A 17,969-nucleotide genomic window follows, 5' to 3' on the forward strand; every position below is an offset into this window, starting at 1 on the left:
ACCCCCACCCTGGCCGCCGAGGGGCGGGGCGCGGCGGGTCCGGGGCGGCCGCGGCTCCATGGGGCTCCTGGGGCTCCTGAGCCTGCTGCACTCGGCCTTCTTCGGGGACCAGGTAGGGCGCGTGGGTCGAGCCGTTGGGGAGGGCTCCGGGCCGCGCAGGAACGGGGCGGGGTCCACACCGCGGGAACAGCGGGCGCGGCGGCGGGGGGCGCATGGGGCGAGCGCGCGGAGGCTGCAGAGTCGGGGGTCTAGTGCCGTCGCCGTAGAGACCGTTGCCGGGAAACCGCCTCGGAAGGCTGGCGGGGATGGAAGCCCCTCTCGTGCGCCGCTGCGACCCCCAGCCCCGGGTCTGCGCAAGCGCAGGGCTCGCCCAGCCCAGCCCTCGGCCTCTGCAGGAGACCCTCGGACCCCTCCTCACTGCGCCGACGCGGAGGCTGCGCCAGCTGGGGCGGCGGGGGCGGCTGCGGGGGCATCCTGCGGAGGCTCGGCCCTGCGCAGGGTGGGGGCCTGGGCCACGCCCTGCGCTTCTTTGGGCCTCAGTTTCCCCTTCTGGGCGCGAGCGTATGGCCTGCTTTGACGTTCGCCGCCGCTGCTGTTCGTATCCGTCCGCTCCCGACCCCAGCGCTTCTCCAGCCTCCGGAATCGTCTGAATTTCGCGGCTGTGACATCCCTCATTGGAGGGGAAACTGAGGCTGGGGGGTGCAGCGGGGAGCCCAAGGTCACGCTTCGAGGCCGGAGCCTCGTTGCGGAGCTAAGGCGCCCGCAAGAGAACGCGGGGCGGGGGCCGGGGAGCTGTCCGCGGTGCTGACGGAGGCGCACGTCTGCCGACTCGCCGCCGGGGAAACTGAGGCCCATAGCGGCGGTCAGGCTTCAGGGCGCGGCCTGGACCGGCCTACCCCACCCTCCCCCACCTCCGGTGGCCTCCTCACCGGTCAGGGCTCTGCCCGGCCACCCAGCCGGCGGCGGGCCGTCTCTATCCTCCCGCGATGACCTGGTGCCTTCTCTGTCCCCACCCAGCTCCCGATGGGGGCCGCCCCTGTTTCTGCCTCTAGCCCCTGGCACAGAGGAGGCATCAAGGGGGCGGGGACAGCTCGAGGTCAGACTCAGAAGGCTCAAAGACACTCCAAGAGTGAGCCGTGTGCCAGGCTGCGGACTTGCGGGGAGGTGTCACAGGACAGGGGTGGGGGAGTGAGCATTTCATGGAACTTCCCCTTTAGCCCAGCAGCAGTAGGGGGCGTGGAGGACCCCAGGGAGGAGCCTAGGTCGGGGTCTTGGGCTAGGCCCTGCGTTCTGCAGTGGGAGAAGGGGGAGACCTCTCTCAGTCTCCTGAAGTCCTAGGGGGCTGTGGGGGGTTCTTGAGGCTCTGAAATGTCTGGTGATGTCTGAGTGTGGCTGTGGTTCAAGGATTTACAGGGTCGAGGATTTTAGTGTGTGGGGGGGGATTGTTCAGGGACATAATGTTTTGTAGATTTGGGGCCAAGGGCATCTTGTCTTGGGGTCTCAGCCCCCATGTACCCTCAGCCCTCCAGGCCCTGGCCACCCCCAGAGGGATAAGAAGGGAGGTTCAGTGTCACTCCGGAGGCCTGGCTGGCACAGGTGAACTCAGGCAACACGTTCCCTGGCCCAGGCCTCAGTTTCCCCATGTATACAAGGACAGGACTGACCTTGGATCCCCCAAACCCCTGCCTGATGGGGGCCTGGGGAGCTGAGACATCTGAAACTACACAGGGAGGTGGGACTTAGTTCCTCTTTGGGGGAGGCAGGGATCATCCAACCCACCCTTCAGTAAACAAGACTGGAAACCGAGGCCAGAGAGAGACATGCCCAGGGGGACACAGGGACAACAAGGCTGAGCTGAAGCCAGGGCCCTGGGCTCTGCATCCCCAACCCCATTTCAGCCTCGCCCAGCTCTGCCCCGGCTTGACCTGTCAAACCCCACCACGCGCCCTACCCCATGGCTCCACCAGACACCCCCTGTGTCCCAAGCATGCATTGATCTTCCCTCAGCCTGGAACGCCTCTCCTCCTGATCACTGCTGTTCACTTCTCAGGGCAGCCTTCCAGCCTCCAGAAAAAAATCCCCTTCGAGGCGGGCGGATCATGAGGTCAGGAGTTTGAGACCAGCCCGACCAACACGGTGAAACCCCCTCTCTATTAAAAATACAAAAATTAGCTGGCAAGGTGGTACATGCCTGTAATCCCAGTTACTGAGGAGTCTGAGGCAGGAGAATCACTTGAACCCAGGAGGCGGAGGTTGCGGTGAGCCGAGATGGCGCCACTGCACTGCAGCCTGGGGGACAGAGCAAGACCCCATCTAAAAAAAAAAAAAAAAAAAGGCCGGGCGTGGTGGTTCACGCCTGTAATCCCAGCACTTTGGGAGGCCGAGGCGGGTGGATCACGAGGTCAGGAGATCGAGACCATCCTGGCTAACGTGAAATCCCGTCTCTACTAAAAAATACAAAAAATTAGCCTGGGCGTGGTGGCGGGCGCCTGTAGTCCCAGCTACTCGGGAGGCTGAGGCAGGAGAATGGCGTGAACCTGGGAGGCGGAGCTTGCAGTGAGCCGAGAACGTGCCACTGCACTCCAGCCTGGGCTACAGAGCAAGACTCCGTCTCAAAAAAAAAAAAAAGAAAAAAAAGAAAAAGAAAAAAGAAAAGATCCCCTGTGTCTGCCCACTGCATTGCCTCCCCAGACCCAACCAGTGGGGACAGCTGCGTCCAGCTCTGGGGGCTCCCAGACAGCCAGGCCGAAGGGCTCTCAGCCCCTGGCAGTGCTGGCCCGGGACAAGGCCCTCGGGTCTTCAGCTCAAGGCCCAACAGGAAACAGCACGGGTCCTCCCTTGCCTTTGTCTACGGGGCCTTGAATACTCGGACCTTCCCACCCTCTCCTATCATTCCCTGCACCAGCCCTTGCAGAATCTTCCGCCTCCTCTCCATTTTACAGAGGAGGAAACCGAGGGTTGAGCGGCGAATGATTTGCCCTGCCTGCCCAGCACGGAAAAAAATCACTCTTCTGGCCCCAGTCGCCTCCCTTTCTGTGCTGTGAGTCTGTGTCCAGAGCAGGAAGGGCTGCTCCGAGCTGCAGGGACGGGCTCTGTGTGTTAAACCTTCAAATGGCTTCCAGGGACTCATGGAGCATCCAGGACACCTGGAGATGGCGACTCCTGGGACCCCTGGCCCTTCCCTCCTCTGGCCTTCGGTCCGTGAGGGTGAATTAAGTGTGCCACCCACCAGGGGCAGAGACACATGGAGACAGAGATTGAGAGACAGAGAACAGAGGGGGAGACAGAAAGAGAGAGGGACATGAAGAGCAACGGAGTTACAGGAGGATCTGACGCTCCGTTGGGGAGACAGGGAGAAATGTGGGGAGATGCAGCGTCCCAGGTGCTCCCCAGTGGCCCTGCCCCTCCTCCCCTCTCCCCTCCCCACCAGGCAGGACCCTCAGGGAGCTCCAGCCTGGACCCGAACCCTGTCCCACCCTGACGCACCTGCACCAGGCCAGGCTGGACCTGTGGGGTGGGTGCAGGCCTGGCCCCAGCCCGGCCACTGCCCTGGAAACCCCTCCCCCGCCAAGATGCTGATGTAACATCCAGGATTTGATGTTTTACTCTCCAATTCTGCAAATCCAGACGCAGGAGGTTTTAAGAGGCCGTTGCACCCTGCAATAAAGTGCGGGACACAGGAATCTTGGTCCTCGGGGCACCCCCTTCCCTCGGGGGGGTTTCGCCCCCCGCACTCACGGCCCCTGAGCCCGCGCGGAGGCCCGACGCCCCGCGGCCGACGCCGGTCCCCGCCCCGGGCCGCCATTGGCTGTTGCCATGGCACCAGCCCGTCTTCCCGCGCCCTCATTGGCTGTCTCACCCGCATCCCTCATCCCGCATCCTCCCCCGCTCGCGGTGGTCTCGCCCAGCGCTAGGAGCGGCAGCGCCGCCTGCCCAGGCCCGGACCGGGCTTTGTCCGCCCCGGAGCCCCTGCCCGCGCCGCGGAGACCCCGGAGCCCGCGCGCTCCGAGGCCACCCCGGGCCGGGATTTCCGGTGGGGCCCGCGGAGCCGCGCAGAGGGAGGAGGCCCCAGACCCAGGCGCCCCGCCAGCCCAGCTGCACGTAAGCGGGTGTGTGTCCTCGGGGAGGAGGGCAGGGGCGCGACCTCCGCCTCGCGTCGAGGTTTCCATCCCTGGCTCTCAGCATTGCCCGTCAGCACAGACTCTGGACCCTCCATTTCCCCAGAGTGGGAGCTGGAGGGGAAACTGAGTCCCGGTGAGCTGGGCGTCAGCGTTTCTGCAGCCGGTCCTGCGCACACACCCACTCACGGGCTTCACCATCCGGACCTCCCTGAGGTGATCGGAGGAAGGGATGGGCAGGCCAGTGGTGTGTCTTCGGGGGTGTTGCTGCACCTCTCTGGGTGTCAGTTTCCCTCTCTGGAAAGAGGGGGTTTGGATTAAAGGAAGGAGAAAGGCCCCTTTGGGCCTGGCTTCCCATACCTGTGCCTCCCTCCCCTGAAATGCAGCCCGCTCAATAAGACCAGCCCCCAGTCATGGTGCCTTCAGGGAGTGATCGCTCAGGAAGGCCCCCAGGAGGCTACACGATGCAACCTGGGGGTGAAAGTAGGCAGAAGAGCTTCGTGGAAGAAGCTGCACTGTGTGGGATGGCAGGACTTAGAAAAGGTGCTCTAGGCAGGGCAACTGCACGTGCAAAGGCCTGAGAGAAGAGAGCCTCCAGCCTCTAAGTGAGTCGCGGTGTACATGGAGGAGTCGGAGCGTATCCTGAGGGCACTGGGGAGCCATGGAAGGTGTTTGAGCATGGGAGAAATGGGATCTCACTTGTGACGTTTAAAGCTCCCTCTGGCTGTGCATGGGGGACTGTGGGAGGCCAGGAAGAGGCTGATCAGAATGTCCTCACAGAGGGGTGTCAGGAGCTGGGGGAGGCATGATCCCGCTGGGCAGAGCTTGGAGGGACTAGCTTAGTCTGATGAGGATGCAGAAATGACCACCGAATGTGGGGAGAGGGAAGGTGTCTGAGGCTTGGCTTCGGTCAGCTGAGAAGAACCACGTGGGGGAGGCCTGGGTTTGGGGAGCAGGAGGCAGACATGTGTTGCTTTGCACGTCATCTGGTCCTTCCACCTGGCTGGGCATGGGATGGTGACCTCAGCTGGAACATGGGGCTCGAGCCAGACCCCAGGGTCTCCCTGCGTGTAGCCCCCAACCCCAAGCCTGATCCCCACTGGAGACCTGAACAGCCTTGGACATCATCGGATCAGGGTGGGAGGTGCCAGCCTCTGCCACCTGACTTCCAGTCCCTGTGCCCCTCCCACCCTGCCCTTGGGCACTCCTGCCCTGCAGGTTCCTCAGAGGGGCAACCCAAAGCCAGAGAGGGGCGGGTCTTGTCGGGCCTCCAGCCTGGACTTCCCAGCCCCTCTGGGGCAGCATCTGGGTGCCAGACCTCGGTTCCTAGGGCCTCGTTTCTCCCTCTGGGAACAGCCAAATGGTGGTCCCTGAGACTCAGGACAGACCAAGAAGGAGCCGGATGACATGGCAAGCCACACACTGCGTCCCCTGAGCAGGACGGGACAGCCCGACTCCATCCTCCCACCTGCGACTGAGCCCCCACCCCTACTCCTGTCCCAGCCGTGCCCCTGGTGACATTTGGGTGGGAGGGGAGGGGATGAGGGGGCACCTGGGGGTCAGAGAACAAATGACGGGTGAATACATGTGTGTGGCCAGGTGGAGGAGGGAGGGGAGGAGCAGGTGGGCTGGACAGGGCCGGTGTGAGGAAGGGGCTCAGGCTGGCAGGGGGAGGTGGCAGAGGGATGGGCTGCCATTGGTGCGTCTGAGACAAAGGCGGAGGGAGGAGGCGAGCGCTGATGGGAAAGGAACAAAGAGGGAAGGGGGGCGTGAAGGGGGGCTCCGGCGGGAGGGCCGAGCCGAGGGAGGAGGCGCCGGCCAGCTGGACAGAGGGAGGAGGCCAGGCCAGAGCCAGAAGACGGCCAGAGGCACAAAGAAGCCAGCGCGCTGGCAGAGTCAAGGGATGGGGCAGGGGCTGCCGGGGCCAGCAGGGACCAGCTGAAGGCTGCGCAGGGGGTGCGGGCCACACAGGTAGCCACCCTGAGCTCAGCCACCGATGGAGGGTCGTGGGGCTGCTGCGGTGATGGCGGTGGGCTTGGGTCCATCTGTCCTGCCGTTTCTGCACAGCTTAGGTGTCACCCACTGGCCTTCGTGGTGTTTTCATTGTCCATCGGCAGGGACAGCTGGTGGTCTGTCCGCCCCGCGTGTCTGGCTGTCAGCCTCTGGGCAGGCTTGCTTTTATGGGGGAGGGTCCTGTCTGTCTGTCTGTCGCCCTCTCTGGCTGTGAGCCTGGGGGTGCTGGGCTGGCCAGTCGGCTTGCTGGGTTAGGCTGTCCCAGCTGTCTGTGTGTTTGTCCGGCTGTCAGGATGTGTCCTGGGGGCTGGGAAGGAGAGGCCGACCCATCGTCTGTCGGTCGACTGGTCAGTTGGACGTTCAGCTGTCTGTACGTCTGTCTGCTGGCCCCTCTGTCTCCCCTTGGGGCCACCTCTCACTCCACCTGCCCCTCTGCGCCCCGGATTGCCTGGCCACCACCACGTGGGCCTGTACTTGTCCACACCAGTGACTCCTGCCTGAGACCCCCCCCAACCCAGGATCAGGCAGGACGGCTGGGGCTTAGGTCAGGGGCCGTCTGTCCGGAAGGCATCACCGCGCCCTCCCCAGACCATCAGCTGAACCCTCTGACCCTGTGATCCCAGACGCTGCAGGAGCTGAAGATGGCGAGCTCCGTGGCGCCCTACGAGCAGCTGGTGAGGCAGGTGGAGGCCTTGAAGGCTGAGAACAGCCACCTGAGGCAGGAGCTAAGGGACAACTCCAGCCACCTGTCCAAGCTGGAGACAGAGACGTCGGGCATGAAGGTGGGGGCCTACATGGAGGAGGTGGGCTAGGGTCCCGGGGTGGTGCCCCCCGGCAGCCCAGTGCAGTGGCTGATGGCTTCCCGCCCTCTTTCCCGCCCCTGCAGGAGGTCCTGAAGCACCTACAGGGAAAACTGGAGCAGGAGGCCCGAGTGCTGGTGTCCTCGGGGCAGACGGAGGTGCTGGAGCAGCTGAAGGGTGAGCGGTGGGGCCACCCGCAGAGGGAGTGGGGGAGGCTGGGGGGAAAGGCAGGCAGGGCCGCTGACCTCCGCCCTGTCCCCGCCCATCCAGCCCTACAGATGGACATCACCAGCCTGTACAACCTCAAGTTCCAGCCGCCCACCCTGGGCCCGGAGCCTGCCGCCCGGACCCCCGAGGGCAGCCCAGTACACGGCTCCGGGCCCTCCAAGGACAGCTTTGGGGAGCTGAGCCGGGCCACCATCCGGCTGCTGGAGGAACTGGACCGGGAACGGTGAGTGGGCGTGGGAACCCAGCCTCGGGCAGCTGGAGCATGACTCGGTCCCCAGCGGGCTCTGCCCTCTAATTCGCCCACCCGCATATGTCTCTGCCCACACCTCACACGCCCCACCCACTTGCATATGGCACTGCCCACCGAACAACCCCGCCCACCTCGGAGCTTCGTCCCCACGTGGCCTCCCTCCCCCTCCCCAGCCCGGCTGACCTCTGCTGGAGTTCAGAGAGGATGGGGGACGTTCCTGGCTGAGGGAAAGGCTCCTTGGAGACGTCCCCAGGGGTCCGAGACACGCAGGCGTCGCCAGGGACCGGGCTGTGTCCGGTGCCAGGGCTCAGCCAGGCCTGGAGCCAGGCGGGCTCAAAGCCGTCTTTGTAGAGAGCTGTGGCCCAAGAAGCGTGGGCTCAGGGCCAGCAGAGGGAGGCAGGGTCTGGGCACCCTGTGCAGCTGGGAGGGGTCATGTGGGGTCAGATGGGGCCATTGAAGAGCAGCGTGGGGTTGTCTGTGCTCTGCTGTGGGACCTCACTCAGCTCCCCTAAACCCTCCCAGCCTAAGACTCCTGCCCTGTAAAATCGGAATGGCCGTGTCTCCCATGAGGTTAAGGGAAACCTCTGTTGCACCTGGAGCACTTTGAGCCTGAAGCTACCTTGTAAGCTGGAGGGAGGTTAGCAAGTATGGGAGAAGTGTTAGAGGCAGGACAGCCTCCCTCAGTCTTTCTTCAAGGAGGAGAATTTCCAAAGGAATTGCTTTCTCTTTTTTTTTTTTTTGTTTAGTACATATAGTTTGAAACAGGGTCTCACTCTGTCACCCAGGCTGGAGTGCAGTGGTATGATCATCGCTCACTGCAGCCTCGAACTCCTGGGTTCAGGTGATTCTCCCACCTCAGCCTCCCATGTCAGGGAGTAGCTGAGACCACAGGTGCGCACCATCATGCCTGGCTAATCTTTTGTACTTTTTTTTTTTTTTTTTTGAGACGGAGTCTCGCTCTGTCGCCCAAGCTGGAGTGCAGTGGCGCGATCTCGGCTCACTGCAAGCTCCGCCTCCCGGGTTCACACCATTCTCCCACCTCAGCCTCCCGAGTAGCTGGGACTACAGGCACCCGCCACCACGCCCGGCTAATTTTGTTTTCGTATTGTTAGCAGAGACGGGGTTTCACCGTGTTAGCCAGGATGGTCTCGATCTCCTGACCTCGTGATCCGCCTGCCTCAGCCTCTCAAAGTGCTGGGATTACAGGCGTGAGCCACCGCGCCCGGCCGGCTATTTTTATATTTTTTATTTTTATTTTTTCCTTTTTAGAGAGGGGGTCTCGCTATGTTGCCCAGACTGTTTTCTCTCCTTTAATTTTTTTGCATCCCCCAGTTAATTTCAATACCCACCCCCCCCCCCTTACCCTAGCTCGGGGAGTGCCACGGGAGAGACCTTGCCATGTTGCCTGTTAACCTTGGCATACAGTAAGCGCTAACAAGTGATTACAAATATCAAAATAAACACACACGGCGCCGCCCTCTGAGCCCGCCCCCGCTGACTTGCTCCCCAGGTGTTTCCTGCTGAATGAGATTGAGAAGGAGGAGAAGGAGAAGCTCTGGTACTACTCTCAGCTGCAGGGCCTGTCCAAGCGCCTGGACGAGCTGCCGCACGTGGAGACGGTGAGCCGGCCGGGGAGCCAGGGGGCAGCGCGCCCGCCCCACTCAGGGTGCGGGAAGCGGCGTGGGGGAGGAACGGGGCCTGGCCCGGGCGCCCCTCACCGTGGCCCGCCCGCCTGCCTTTGCCAGCAGTTCTCGATGCAGATGGACCTGATCCGGCAGCAGCTTGAGTTCGAGGCCCAGCACATCCGCTCGCTGATGGAGGAGCGCTTCGGCACCTCGGACGAGATGGTGCAGCGGGCACAGGTGCGGCGGTGGGCGGGGTGGCGCGGCGGTAGGCGGGGCCCTGCGCCAGTGGGCAAATCAGAGTGCAGATATTATGGGCGGGGTCTGGGGTAATGGGAGGAGTCTTATGCCTCCTGGGTTGGGGGGCGCGGGTTCTGGTTCAGGAGGCGGGGCCAGAAGCTGGAGGTGTTGGTGGGTGGAGTCAGGAGGCTCAGAGCCTGAGCACAAGGGCGGTGGGGTGCGACAGTGGAAGGTGGCATGGCCTGTGGGCAGGGCCAGATCAGCAGGTGGGTGGGGCCTAGAAGGACGAGGTCTAGGTTCTGGGTGGAGCCCAAATGGGAAGTGGGAGGAGTCAGAGCCTGGGATGGACTAAAGGCGGGGTTTAGACAGTGGGTGGGGTCATATCTTAGGAGGCGGGGCTTAGGGAGCTGGCAGGGCTGGATCAGGGAGAAGGCAGAGGTAGGGTCAGGGCCTGGGGCGGGGTTATCAGGAAGAGGCGGGGTCAGAGCCCAGGGTGGGGTCATCCCAGGGAGAGGCGGGGTCAGAGCCGGGGGCGGGGTCAGCTCCAGCACTTGCCCTCGTGTGGTCCTGAGCAGATCCGCGCCTCGCGCCTGGAGCAGATTGACAAGGAGCTGCTGGAGGCGCAGGACCGAGTGCAGCAGACGGAGCCCCAGGTACCGGGTGGGGCAGAGCCAGGGACCAGGGGTGGTGTCGGCCCAGGCAGAACGGGGCTCCTCGAGTTCTGCCCGCCCCCGCCCACATCATCACGGGTGAGCAGACTGGGTGCTCTGGGACTGTACCCCCGACCCTGGTGCTCTCCCTGCAGGCCTTGCTGGCGGTGAAGTCGGTGCCGGTGGACGAGGACCCCGAGACAGAGGTCCCCACACACCCTGAGGATGGCACCCCTCAGCCGGGCAACAGCAAGGTGAGGGGGAGGGTGAAACGGGGGCTGGCGCAGCTGTCTGGGCTGGAAGGGGGATCAGGTCTGCATCCTCGCCAGTGGTGGTGCCCTCCCATGCCTCCATCCAGCACCCCCTCGGGTGTAGGAAGGCCCCTCTGGCGTGCAGCTCATGCAGAAGCTGCGGGCCTGGCGAGGTGGATGGGGAAATACGTCCCGTAGCGGGGGCTAAGTGGGGCACCATAGACGTCCCCGTGGAGTCCCTTGGCTCTGCGCGGCCACCCTAGGAATGCCAGGTGAGGGGGGCCAGCCTCCCCGAAGCACGTGTGCAGCCTCCTAGCGTCCCCTCATCTGTCCCCCAGGTGGGCGTGGGGCTGCCCTTGGGGACGGGGCAGGGGTCACAGGGCTCCGACCGGGTTTCCAGGTGTGCGGGGGGCAGGTGAGGGACCCCACCCTGACCCTGCCCTCCCCCCAGGTGGAGGTGGTCTTCTGGCTGTTGTCCATGTTGGCGACGCGCGACCAGGAGGATACAGCGCGCACGCTGCTGGCCATGTCCAGCTCGCCCGAGAGCTGCGTGGCCATGCGCCGCTCGGGCTGTCTGCCTCTGCTGCTGCAAATCCTCCACGGCACCGAGGCCGCGGCCGGGGGTCGCGCCGGGGCCCCAGGGGCACCGGGCGCCAAGGACGCACGCATGCGCGCCAACGCGGCGCTGCACAACATCGTCTTCTCGCAGCCGGACCAGGGCCTGGCGCGCAAGGAGATGCGCGTCCTGCACGTGCTGGAGCAGATCCGGGCCTACTGCGAGACCTGCTGGGACTGGCTGCAGGCCCGAGACGGCGGGCCCGAGGGAGGTGGCGCCGGCAGCGGTGAGTGCCTGGCCTGGTGGGCCCCCTCCGCGCAATTAACGTGCAGCTAGGGCTTCCCGGGGGATGGGCGACTAGGACCTCCAGCCTTTGCTGCCTGCCTTCTGGCGTTGGAGGCTGCAGTACCAGGCTCCGGCCGAGGCCTGTGGGGGCATTTGACGTTGGGAAAAGACCCGCCCATGATCGTACCTGGCGCAGAGTAAACGCTCGGGAAGTCGCTGAATGCATGGATGGATCGTGGGTAACTCTGGAAAGTTGGGTGCAGACTTTGAGATTCTTTTTTTGCAGTTGATCGCAAAGTTAATATGGGGGCCGGGCGCTGTGACTCACACCTGTGATCCCAGCACTTTGGAAGGCAGAAGCAGGAGAATTGCTTGAGCCCAGGAATTTGGGGCTGCAGTGAGCTGAGATCATGCTACTGCACTCCAGTCTGGACAACAGAGCGAGACCCTGTCTCGTCAGTTTTATTTTTAAAAAGGGCAGAAGCACAGCTGAAAGGTGTGGTGCTCCAGGAACTACCTCGCCTCCCTTCCCAAGGCTGAGTGAGAGAGGCCACCCCATCATCCCATCTTAGAGAGGCTGGGAAAGGAAGTCCCAACTTTGCAGCCATTTGCAAAGCTCCCGGGATCCTTCAGGCCTGGGGCGGGCGGGTTGCGGGACCTTCGGGAGTCACCTGGGACATTTCCTGGGAATGGGGGCTCTGATCTGGTCCCTGTGCCCACAGCCCCGATCCCCATCGAGCCGCAGATCTGCCAGGCCACCTGTGCTGTTATGAAGCTGTCCTTTGATGAGGAGTACCGCCGTGCCATGAACGAGCTAGGTGAGTGTCCCAGGTCCTCTGGGAAGCCATCCTCCAGCCCCCGAACAGGTGGTGGCTCCTCGGCCGCTAAAGGGACACAGGCTGGGTCATCTGAGCTTGGGCTGGGGATTGGAGCCCGGAGAGGGACAGACTCCCTGGAGTCACATAGCACCTCTCATGAGTGGACCGTCACCCTGGGCCCTCTGTCCCCATGAGCTGCGTGTGGCCTCCCGATCTGGTCTGAGGCTTCGGGGGTGACTTTCAGCCCTAAGTTCCCTGGGGCTCAGAACAGGGAACGGACCAGAAGGGCAAAGATAGATAGAAGACAGGCCCAGAATTGGAACTGTAGGGGGTGTTTTACGTTTGAGGACATTGCAACATCTTCTCTTTGTCAATATAAAAAGTAATTGAGGCCGGGCGAGGCTGCTCATACCTGTAATCCCAGCAGTTTGGGAGGCCAAGGCAGGAGGATGACTTTAGCTCAGAAGTTCGAGACCAGGCTGGGCAAAAATAGTGAGACCCCATCACTACAAAAAAAAAATTAGTCCCAGCTACTGGGGAGGCTGAGGTGGGAGGATCTCTTGAGCCCAGGAGGTTAAAGGTGCAAGGAGCTATGATCATGCCACCACACTCCAGACTGGGCAACAGAGCCAGACCCTGTCTCAAAAAGAAAAGTCTTGCTGTAACTTTTTTTTGAGACAGAGTCTCACTCTGTTGCCCAGGCTGGAGTGCAGTGGTACAATCTCAGCTCACTGCAAACTCCACCTCCGAGTAGCTGGGATTACAGGTGCCCGCCCCCACACCTGACTAATTTTTGTATTTTTAGTAGAGACGGGGTTTCACCGTGTTGCTCAGGCTGGTCTCAAACTCCTGGCCTCGGGTGATCCGCCCACCTCGGCCTCCCAAAGTGCCGGGATTACAGGCGCGAGCCACCACGCCCGGCCACTTTACATCTTCAAACTCTGTCCCGGTGAAACATTTCCTGCTCATCCTGTCCCCAGCCCCTGGCACCCACCCCCATCCTACTTTCTGTCTCTGTGAATCTGATGGAGCTAGGGACATCCTAGGAGTGGAATCACACAGGATTTGTCATTTTATGCCTGGCGTCTCCCACTGAGCGTGACATCCTCAAGGTGCACCTACGCCATAGTCTGTTTGTTTCAGAGCCTCATTCCTTTTGAGACAGACAGGGTCTTGCTCTGTTGCCCATGCTGGAGTGCAGTGGCGCCATCTCGGCTCACTGCAACCTCTGCCTCCCGGGTTTAAGCGATTCTCCTGCCTCAGCCTCCCAAAGTGCTGGAGTTGCAGGCAGAAGGAGCCACCACACCCGGCCAAAGCCTGGCTCCCTTCTGAGGCTGCGTGACATCCCATCGTGTGCACAGGGCACGCTGGGCTGACCCACTTGTCCTCCTATGGATGCTCTAGCTGCCCCCCACTCCTGGCTCTGTGAATCGTGCTGTGGTGAACCTGGATGTACGCGTTTCAGGCTGGAAGTTTTCTGAGATATGTCCCTAACTCACTTCCCCAAAGGGTGTCTCCACTGACCCACTCCTGCTCTGAGAACAGTCACATTTGCCTCTGTTGTCTTTGAAGAGGGAGAAAAGTGTTTTGGTGACAAGTCCTCCTCTCCCTCTGACTCACAGGCGCCATCTCCCCGTTGATTTCCCCCTTTTGTAATGGGGAAGCGGGGCGAGTGAAGAGGGTGGGTGTGGCCGTCACCCATCCCTACAGCCCTGTCTGTGCTGGGGATGCTGCTCTCCATCTGATGGTCTTGGGGTGTATTATTAGAGGACTCAGGGGGCCTTCCCCGAGGCACCTATCAAACAGGGCAGGGAAGAACATTCCAGGCTGAGGGAACAACAGGTGCAGAGGCCCAGTGGCTGGAGGAAGCGTGAGCCAGGACCGAGGGCTGACAGGAGGCGGGGGTGGCAGTCACAGGGCACTGGGGGTACCCCTGTGGGTCTGGCAGCAGGGTGAGGCCATACCGGCTCCTGGAGGAGGTCTCAGACTTGGGCCTGGAAGGGGAACTTGAGGGCAGGTCTGGGGCATAGGGAGGGCCTCTGGGCAAGGGAGTGAGGTGGGGCGCTGGGCAGCAGGCAGGGTCATCCCTGCCACCCACCAACCTTGTTGGGTCCTCACAGGTGGGCTGCAGGCCGTGGCAGAGCTGCTGCAGGTTGACTATGAGATGCACAAGATGACCCGGGACCCGCTGAACCTGGCGCTGCGCCGCTACGCGGGCATGACCCTCACCAACCTCACCTTTGGGGACGTTGCCAACAAGGTGCCCGGGGGCAGTGGGTGGGCTGGCACTTTCCTCATCCAGTCTTCCAGGGACTGAGCCTCCTTCCAACTCATCCCAGCCTCGAAACAGCCCTGAGAGCTGGGGCCACTTGTCCCCAACTTACAGACGGGTAGACTGAGGCCCAGAGAGTGCGGTGTGGGGGGACGGGAGCGCGTGCTGAACCTCCCCACCTGGCGGTGTCCTCACGCCCACCCTGTTGCTGCCTCTGCAGAAAATGGCCCTCATTGTAGAGGGGGCCTCAGGGCCCCGAGGCTGGGTGTCTGCCCCTGTCTGGGCCTCAGTTTCCCGACCTGAGCATGGGGTAACCGTCCCCGGTAGTGGTCAGGATCAGCAGGGGTCTGAGTTTGCAGCTGCAGCACACAGACGGGGCTGGGAGGTGAGGGGCACAGTCTCCCTTGTGTCCCAACCCCGTGACCCCGGCTGCATAACCCCCAACAGGCCACCCTGTGTGCGCGCCGCGGCTGCATGGAGGCCATCGTGGCCCAGCTGGCCTCCGACAGTGAGGAGCTCCACCAGGTACAGGGCGGGGTGCTGGGAAAGCCTTCCAGGGTGTCCCTGATAGGCAGAGGCCCCTCCCCAGCGGTGTGGTGGGCTGGCAGGGGTGTCCCGTCCGACTCTCTGCAGACTCACATTTGCTGGGGGGTTTGGGGGGCCTGGACCCTAGTCCCACCACACTTGCCCCTCACCCCACCCAGGTGGTGTCCAGCATCCTTCGGAACTTGTCCTGGAGGGCCGACATCAACAGCAAGAAGGTGCTGAGGGAGGCGGGCAGCGTGACTGCCCTGGTGCAGTGTGTCCTGCGGGCCACCAAGGTGGGCACCCGGTGGGCGGCAGGGATGCTTCTTCAGTCACTGGAAGGAGACTGCTGGCGGCAGCGGGCGAGCTCTCCGACTTGGGAGGAAATCAAGTTGAACAGCTCACTGCTTAGCGGGTGGTCCAGCCTCAGACCGGCTGGGGCTCACTCCTCATGTCACTGCTCTTTGAAAGCAAATGTGGGCTGGGCGCCGTGGCTCACTTGAGGTCAGGAGTTCGAGACCAGCCTGGCCAACATGGTCAGACCCCATCTCTACTAAAAAAAACAGCCAGGCGTGGCAGCGGGCGCCTGTTAGTCCAGCTACTCGGGAGGCTGAGGCAGGAGAATCACTTGAACCTAGGAGGCGGAGGTTGCGCCACTGCATTCCAGCCTGGGCCACAGAGCAAGACTGCGTCTCAAAAAAACAACCTCACTGGGCCGGGCGCGGTGGCTCTTGCCTGTAATCCCAGCACTTTGGGAGGCCGAGGCGGGCGGATCACAAGGTCAGGAGATCGAGACCATCCTGGCTAACACGGTGAAACCCCGTCTCTACTAAAAATACAAAAAATTAGCCGGGCGTGGTGGCGGGTGTCTGTAGTCCCAGCTACTCCGGAGGCTGAGGCAGGAGAATCGCTTGAACTGGGGAGTCGGAGCCTGCAGTGAGTCGAGATCTCGCCACTGCACTCCAGCCTGGGGGAGAGAGTGAGATTCCGTCTCAAAAAAAAAAAACAAAAAACAAAAAAACCCAACTTCACTGAATGTGAGCGTGGGAGCCTTTCCTCCGGGCCACTCAGGCCCTGACCCGCCCCTCTCCCGCCCCTCGTCCAGGAGTCCACCCTGAAGAGCGTGCTGAGCGCCCTGTGGAATCTGTCTGCACACAGCACAGAGAACAAGGCGGCCATCTGCCAGGTGGATGGCGCCCTGGGCTTCCTGGTGAGCACCCTGACCTACAAGTGTCAGAGCAACTCGCTGGCCATCATCGAGAGCGGCGGCGGCATCCTCCGCAATGTGTCCAGCCTCGTCGCCACCCGTGAGGACTACAGGTCGGCCCCCACCCCCCCACCCGCACACAGGCAGCTGCGCTCGGGGCGGGCACAGGGCTGGGCTGGGCACTGTCCTCCCGTGAATGCATGCTCCCAAGGCTTCCCCAGGGGCTGCTGTTTGCAGCATAAATACGTCCCAAATACTGCGTGAGATATACTAAAATGCAGACCTATTTATTACATTAAAATTACTTCAGGCCAGGTGCAGTGGCTCATGCCTGTAATCCCAGCACTTTGGGAGGCCGAGGCAGGCAGATCACCTGAGGTTGGGAGTTCAAGACCAGCCTGACCAACATGGAGAAAGCCTGTCCCTACTAAAAATATAAAATTAGCCAGGTGTGGTGGCGGGCACCTGTAATCCCAGCTACTCGGGAGGCTGAGGCAGAAGAATCGTTTGAACCCAGGAGGCAGAGGTTGCGGTGAGCTGAGATTGTGCCACTGCACTCCAGTCTGGGCAACAAGAGCGAAACTTCATCTCAAAAAAAAAAAAAAAAAAAAAAAAAATTCAGGCAGCCAGGCGCAGTGGCTCACACCTGTAATCCCAGCACTTTGGGAGGCCGAGGCGGGCGGATCACGAGGTCAGGAGATCGAGACCATCCTGCCTAACACGGTGAAACCCCCATCTCTACTAAAAATACAAAAAATTAGCTGGGCATGGTGGTGGGTGCCTGTAGTCCCAGCTACTCAGGAGGCTGAGACAGGAGAATGGCATGAACCCGGGAGGCGGAGCTTGCAGTGAGCTGAGATTGTGCCACTGCACTCCAGATTGGGCGACAGAGCAAGATTCCGTCTTAAAAAAAAAAAAAAATTACTTCAGGCTGGGCTCGGTCCCTCACACCTGGAATCCCAGCACTTTGGGAGGCCGAGGTGGGCGGATCACCTGAGGTTGGGAGTTCAAGATCAGCCTGACCAACATGGAGAAACCCTGTCTCTACTAAAAAATATAAAATTAGCCAGGTGTGGGCCGGGCGTGGTGGCTCACACCTGTAATCCCACTTTGGGAGGCCGAGATGGGCAGGTCACAAAGTCAGGAGATCCAGACCATCCTGGCTAACATGGTGAACCCCGTCTCTACTGCAAATACAAAAAAAATAGCCAGGCATGGTGGCGGGCACCTGTGGTCCCAGCTACTCGGGAGACTGAAGCAGGAAAATGGCGTGAACCCGGGAGGCGGAGGCTGCAGTGAGGTGAGATCACACCACTGCATTCCAGCCTGGGCGACAGAGGGGACTCTGTCTCAAAAAAAAAAAAAAAAATTAACCAGGTGTGGTGGCTCATGCCTGTAATTCCAGCTACTCGGGAGGCTGAGGCAGGAGAATTGCTTGAGTCTGGGAGGCGGAGGTTGCAGTGTGCCAGGATAAGGCCATTGCACACCAGCCTGGGCAACAAGAGCAAAACTGTCTCAAAAAAAAAAAAAAAAGAAAAATTAGCTTGGCTTGGCGTCCACATGTAGTTCCAGCTACTTAGGAGGCTGAGGTGGAAGAATCACTTGACAATAGGAGGTTGAGGCTGCAGTGACCTGTGATCACGCTACTGCACTCCAGCCTGGGTGATGGGAGTGAGACCCTGTCTCAATTTTATTTTAAATCATATTAATATAACTGTCTTCATTAAAATATTTAAACAATAGAGAATACTTATTTATAAAAATAAATAATATTTTTAATTGAAGTACATCTCAAATACACATCGGATATACTAAAAATTAACTTATTGGCTGGGCGCGGTGGCTCACGCCTGTAATCCCAGCACTTTGGGAGGCCGAGGTGGGCGGATCACCTGAGGTCAGGAGTTTGAGACCAGCCCAGCCAACATGGTGAAACTCCGTCTCTAATAAAAATACAAAAATTAGCCAGTGGGGTGGTGGACGCCTGTAATCCCAGCACTTTGGCAGGCCGAGGTAGGTGGATCACCTGAGGTCAGGAGTTTGAGACCAGCCTAGCCAACATGGTGAAACTCCGTCTCTACTAAAAATATAAAAATTAGCCAGGCGGGGTGGTGGGTGCCTGTAATCCCACCTA

At 61.2% G+C, this 17,969-nt stretch overlaps 1 protein-coding gene across 9 annotated transcripts in view, besides 11 other annotated features; it reads left to right on the forward strand.

Annotated features, from left to right (window-relative positions):
• The window catches only part of APC2 (APC regulator of Wnt signaling pathway 2), a 27,015-nt gene continuing 9,046 nt past the window's right edge, over nt 1-17,969 (forward strand). The window contains exons 1-14 of one of the 9 annotated variants that reach the window (XM_005259475.3): nt 1-112; nt 6,755-6,913; nt 7,018-7,108; nt 7,202-7,382; nt 8,920-9,028; nt 9,155-9,271; nt 9,847-9,924; nt 10,077-10,175; nt 10,624-11,014; nt 11,736-11,831; nt 13,952-14,091; nt 14,551-14,628; nt 14,808-14,924; nt 15,734-15,948. In XM_005259475.3, coding sequence (XP_005259532.1) covers nt 59-112; nt 6,755-6,913; nt 7,018-7,108; nt 7,202-7,382; nt 8,920-9,028; nt 9,155-9,271; nt 9,847-9,924; nt 10,077-10,175; nt 10,624-11,014; nt 11,736-11,831; nt 13,952-14,091; nt 14,551-14,628; nt 14,808-14,924; nt 15,734-15,948 — 1,925 coding nt within the window. In that variant the 5' untranslated portion in view covers nt 1-58. Of the gene's footprint in view, nt 113-3,891; nt 4,110-5,971; nt 6,090-6,754; nt 6,914-7,017; nt 7,109-7,201; nt 7,383-8,919; nt 9,029-9,154; nt 9,272-9,846; nt 9,925-10,076; nt 10,176-10,623; nt 11,015-11,735; nt 11,832-13,951; nt 14,092-14,550; nt 14,629-14,807; nt 14,925-15,733; nt 15,949-17,969 lie in introns of those variants that run through there. The other 8 variants (XM_006722607.3, NM_005883.3, XM_047438031.1 and 5 more) reach the window with 8 other exon arrangements.
• Nucleotides 2-51: a silencer, noted in NCBI's record as "silent region_9713". NCBI's record gives its function as "represses an Ori minimal core promoter by ATAC-STARR-seq in GM12878 lymphoblastoid cells {active_cell/tissue: GM12878}" and the evidence as "EXISTENCE:reporter gene assay evidence [ECO:0000049][PMID:35858748]".
• Nucleotides 701-995: a silencer, noted in NCBI's record as "tiled region #2129; HepG2 Repressive DNase matched - State 4:PromP, and K562 Repressive non-DNase unmatched - State 8:EnhW". NCBI's record gives its function as "represses a minimal TATA promoter and a strong SV40 promoter by Sharpr-MPRA in HepG2 and K562 cells {active_cell/tissue: HepG2 | K562}" and the evidence as "EXISTENCE:reporter gene assay evidence [ECO:0000049][PMID:27701403]".
• Nucleotides 3,739-3,938: a silencer, noted in NCBI's record as "silent region_9714". NCBI's record gives its function as "represses an Ori minimal core promoter by ATAC-STARR-seq in GM12878 lymphoblastoid cells {active_cell/tissue: GM12878}" and the evidence as "EXISTENCE:reporter gene assay evidence [ECO:0000049][PMID:35858748]".
• Nucleotides 5,781-6,414: an enhancer, noted in NCBI's record as "H3K27ac-H3K4me1 hESC enhancer chr19:1452009-1452642 (GRCh37/hg19 assembly coordinates)". NCBI's record gives its function as "activates a minimal SCP1, AML or CMV promoter by ChIP-STARR-seq in primed H9 embryonic stem cells {active_cell/tissue: H9 hESC(primed)}" and the evidence as "EXISTENCE:reporter gene assay evidence [ECO:0000049][PMID:30033119]".
• Nucleotides 6,415-7,046: an enhancer, noted in NCBI's record as "H3K27ac-H3K4me1 hESC enhancer chr19:1452643-1453274 (GRCh37/hg19 assembly coordinates)". NCBI's record gives its function as "activates a minimal SCP1, AML or CMV promoter by ChIP-STARR-seq in primed H9 embryonic stem cells {active_cell/tissue: H9 hESC(primed)}" and the evidence as "EXISTENCE:reporter gene assay evidence [ECO:0000049][PMID:30033119]".
• Nucleotides 7,047-7,679: an enhancer, noted in NCBI's record as "H3K27ac-H3K4me1 hESC enhancer chr19:1453275-1453907 (GRCh37/hg19 assembly coordinates)". NCBI's record gives its function as "activates a minimal SCP1, AML or CMV promoter by ChIP-STARR-seq in primed H9 embryonic stem cells {active_cell/tissue: H9 hESC(primed)}" and the evidence as "EXISTENCE:reporter gene assay evidence [ECO:0000049][PMID:30033119]".
• Nucleotides 7,680-8,311: an enhancer, noted in NCBI's record as "H3K27ac-H3K4me1 hESC enhancer chr19:1453908-1454539 (GRCh37/hg19 assembly coordinates)". NCBI's record gives its function as "activates a minimal SCP1, AML or CMV promoter by ChIP-STARR-seq in naive H9 embryonic stem cells {active_cell/tissue: H9 hESC(naive)}" and the evidence as "EXISTENCE:reporter gene assay evidence [ECO:0000049][PMID:30033119]".
• Nucleotides 9,095-9,174: a silencer, noted in NCBI's record as "silent region_9715". NCBI's record gives its function as "represses an Ori minimal core promoter by ATAC-STARR-seq in GM12878 lymphoblastoid cells {active_cell/tissue: GM12878}" and the evidence as "EXISTENCE:reporter gene assay evidence [ECO:0000049][PMID:35858748]".
• Nucleotides 9,225-9,344: a silencer, noted in NCBI's record as "silent region_9716". NCBI's record gives its function as "represses an Ori minimal core promoter by ATAC-STARR-seq in GM12878 lymphoblastoid cells {active_cell/tissue: GM12878}" and the evidence as "EXISTENCE:reporter gene assay evidence [ECO:0000049][PMID:35858748]".
• Nucleotides 9,745-9,884: a silencer, noted in NCBI's record as "silent region_9717". NCBI's record gives its function as "represses an Ori minimal core promoter by ATAC-STARR-seq in GM12878 lymphoblastoid cells {active_cell/tissue: GM12878}" and the evidence as "EXISTENCE:reporter gene assay evidence [ECO:0000049][PMID:35858748]".
• Nucleotides 10,141-10,657: an enhancer, noted in NCBI's record as "H3K27ac-H3K4me1 hESC enhancer chr19:1456369-1456885 (GRCh37/hg19 assembly coordinates)". NCBI's record gives its function as "activates a minimal SCP1, AML or CMV promoter by ChIP-STARR-seq in primed H9 embryonic stem cells {active_cell/tissue: H9 hESC(primed)}" and the evidence as "EXISTENCE:reporter gene assay evidence [ECO:0000049][PMID:30033119]".

Source organism: Homo sapiens, chromosome 19, assembly GCF_000001405.40.
Source record: "Homo sapiens chromosome 19, GRCh38.p14 Primary Assembly".
Lineage (NCBI taxonomy): Eukaryota > Metazoa > Chordata > Mammalia > Primates > Hominidae > Homo > Homo sapiens.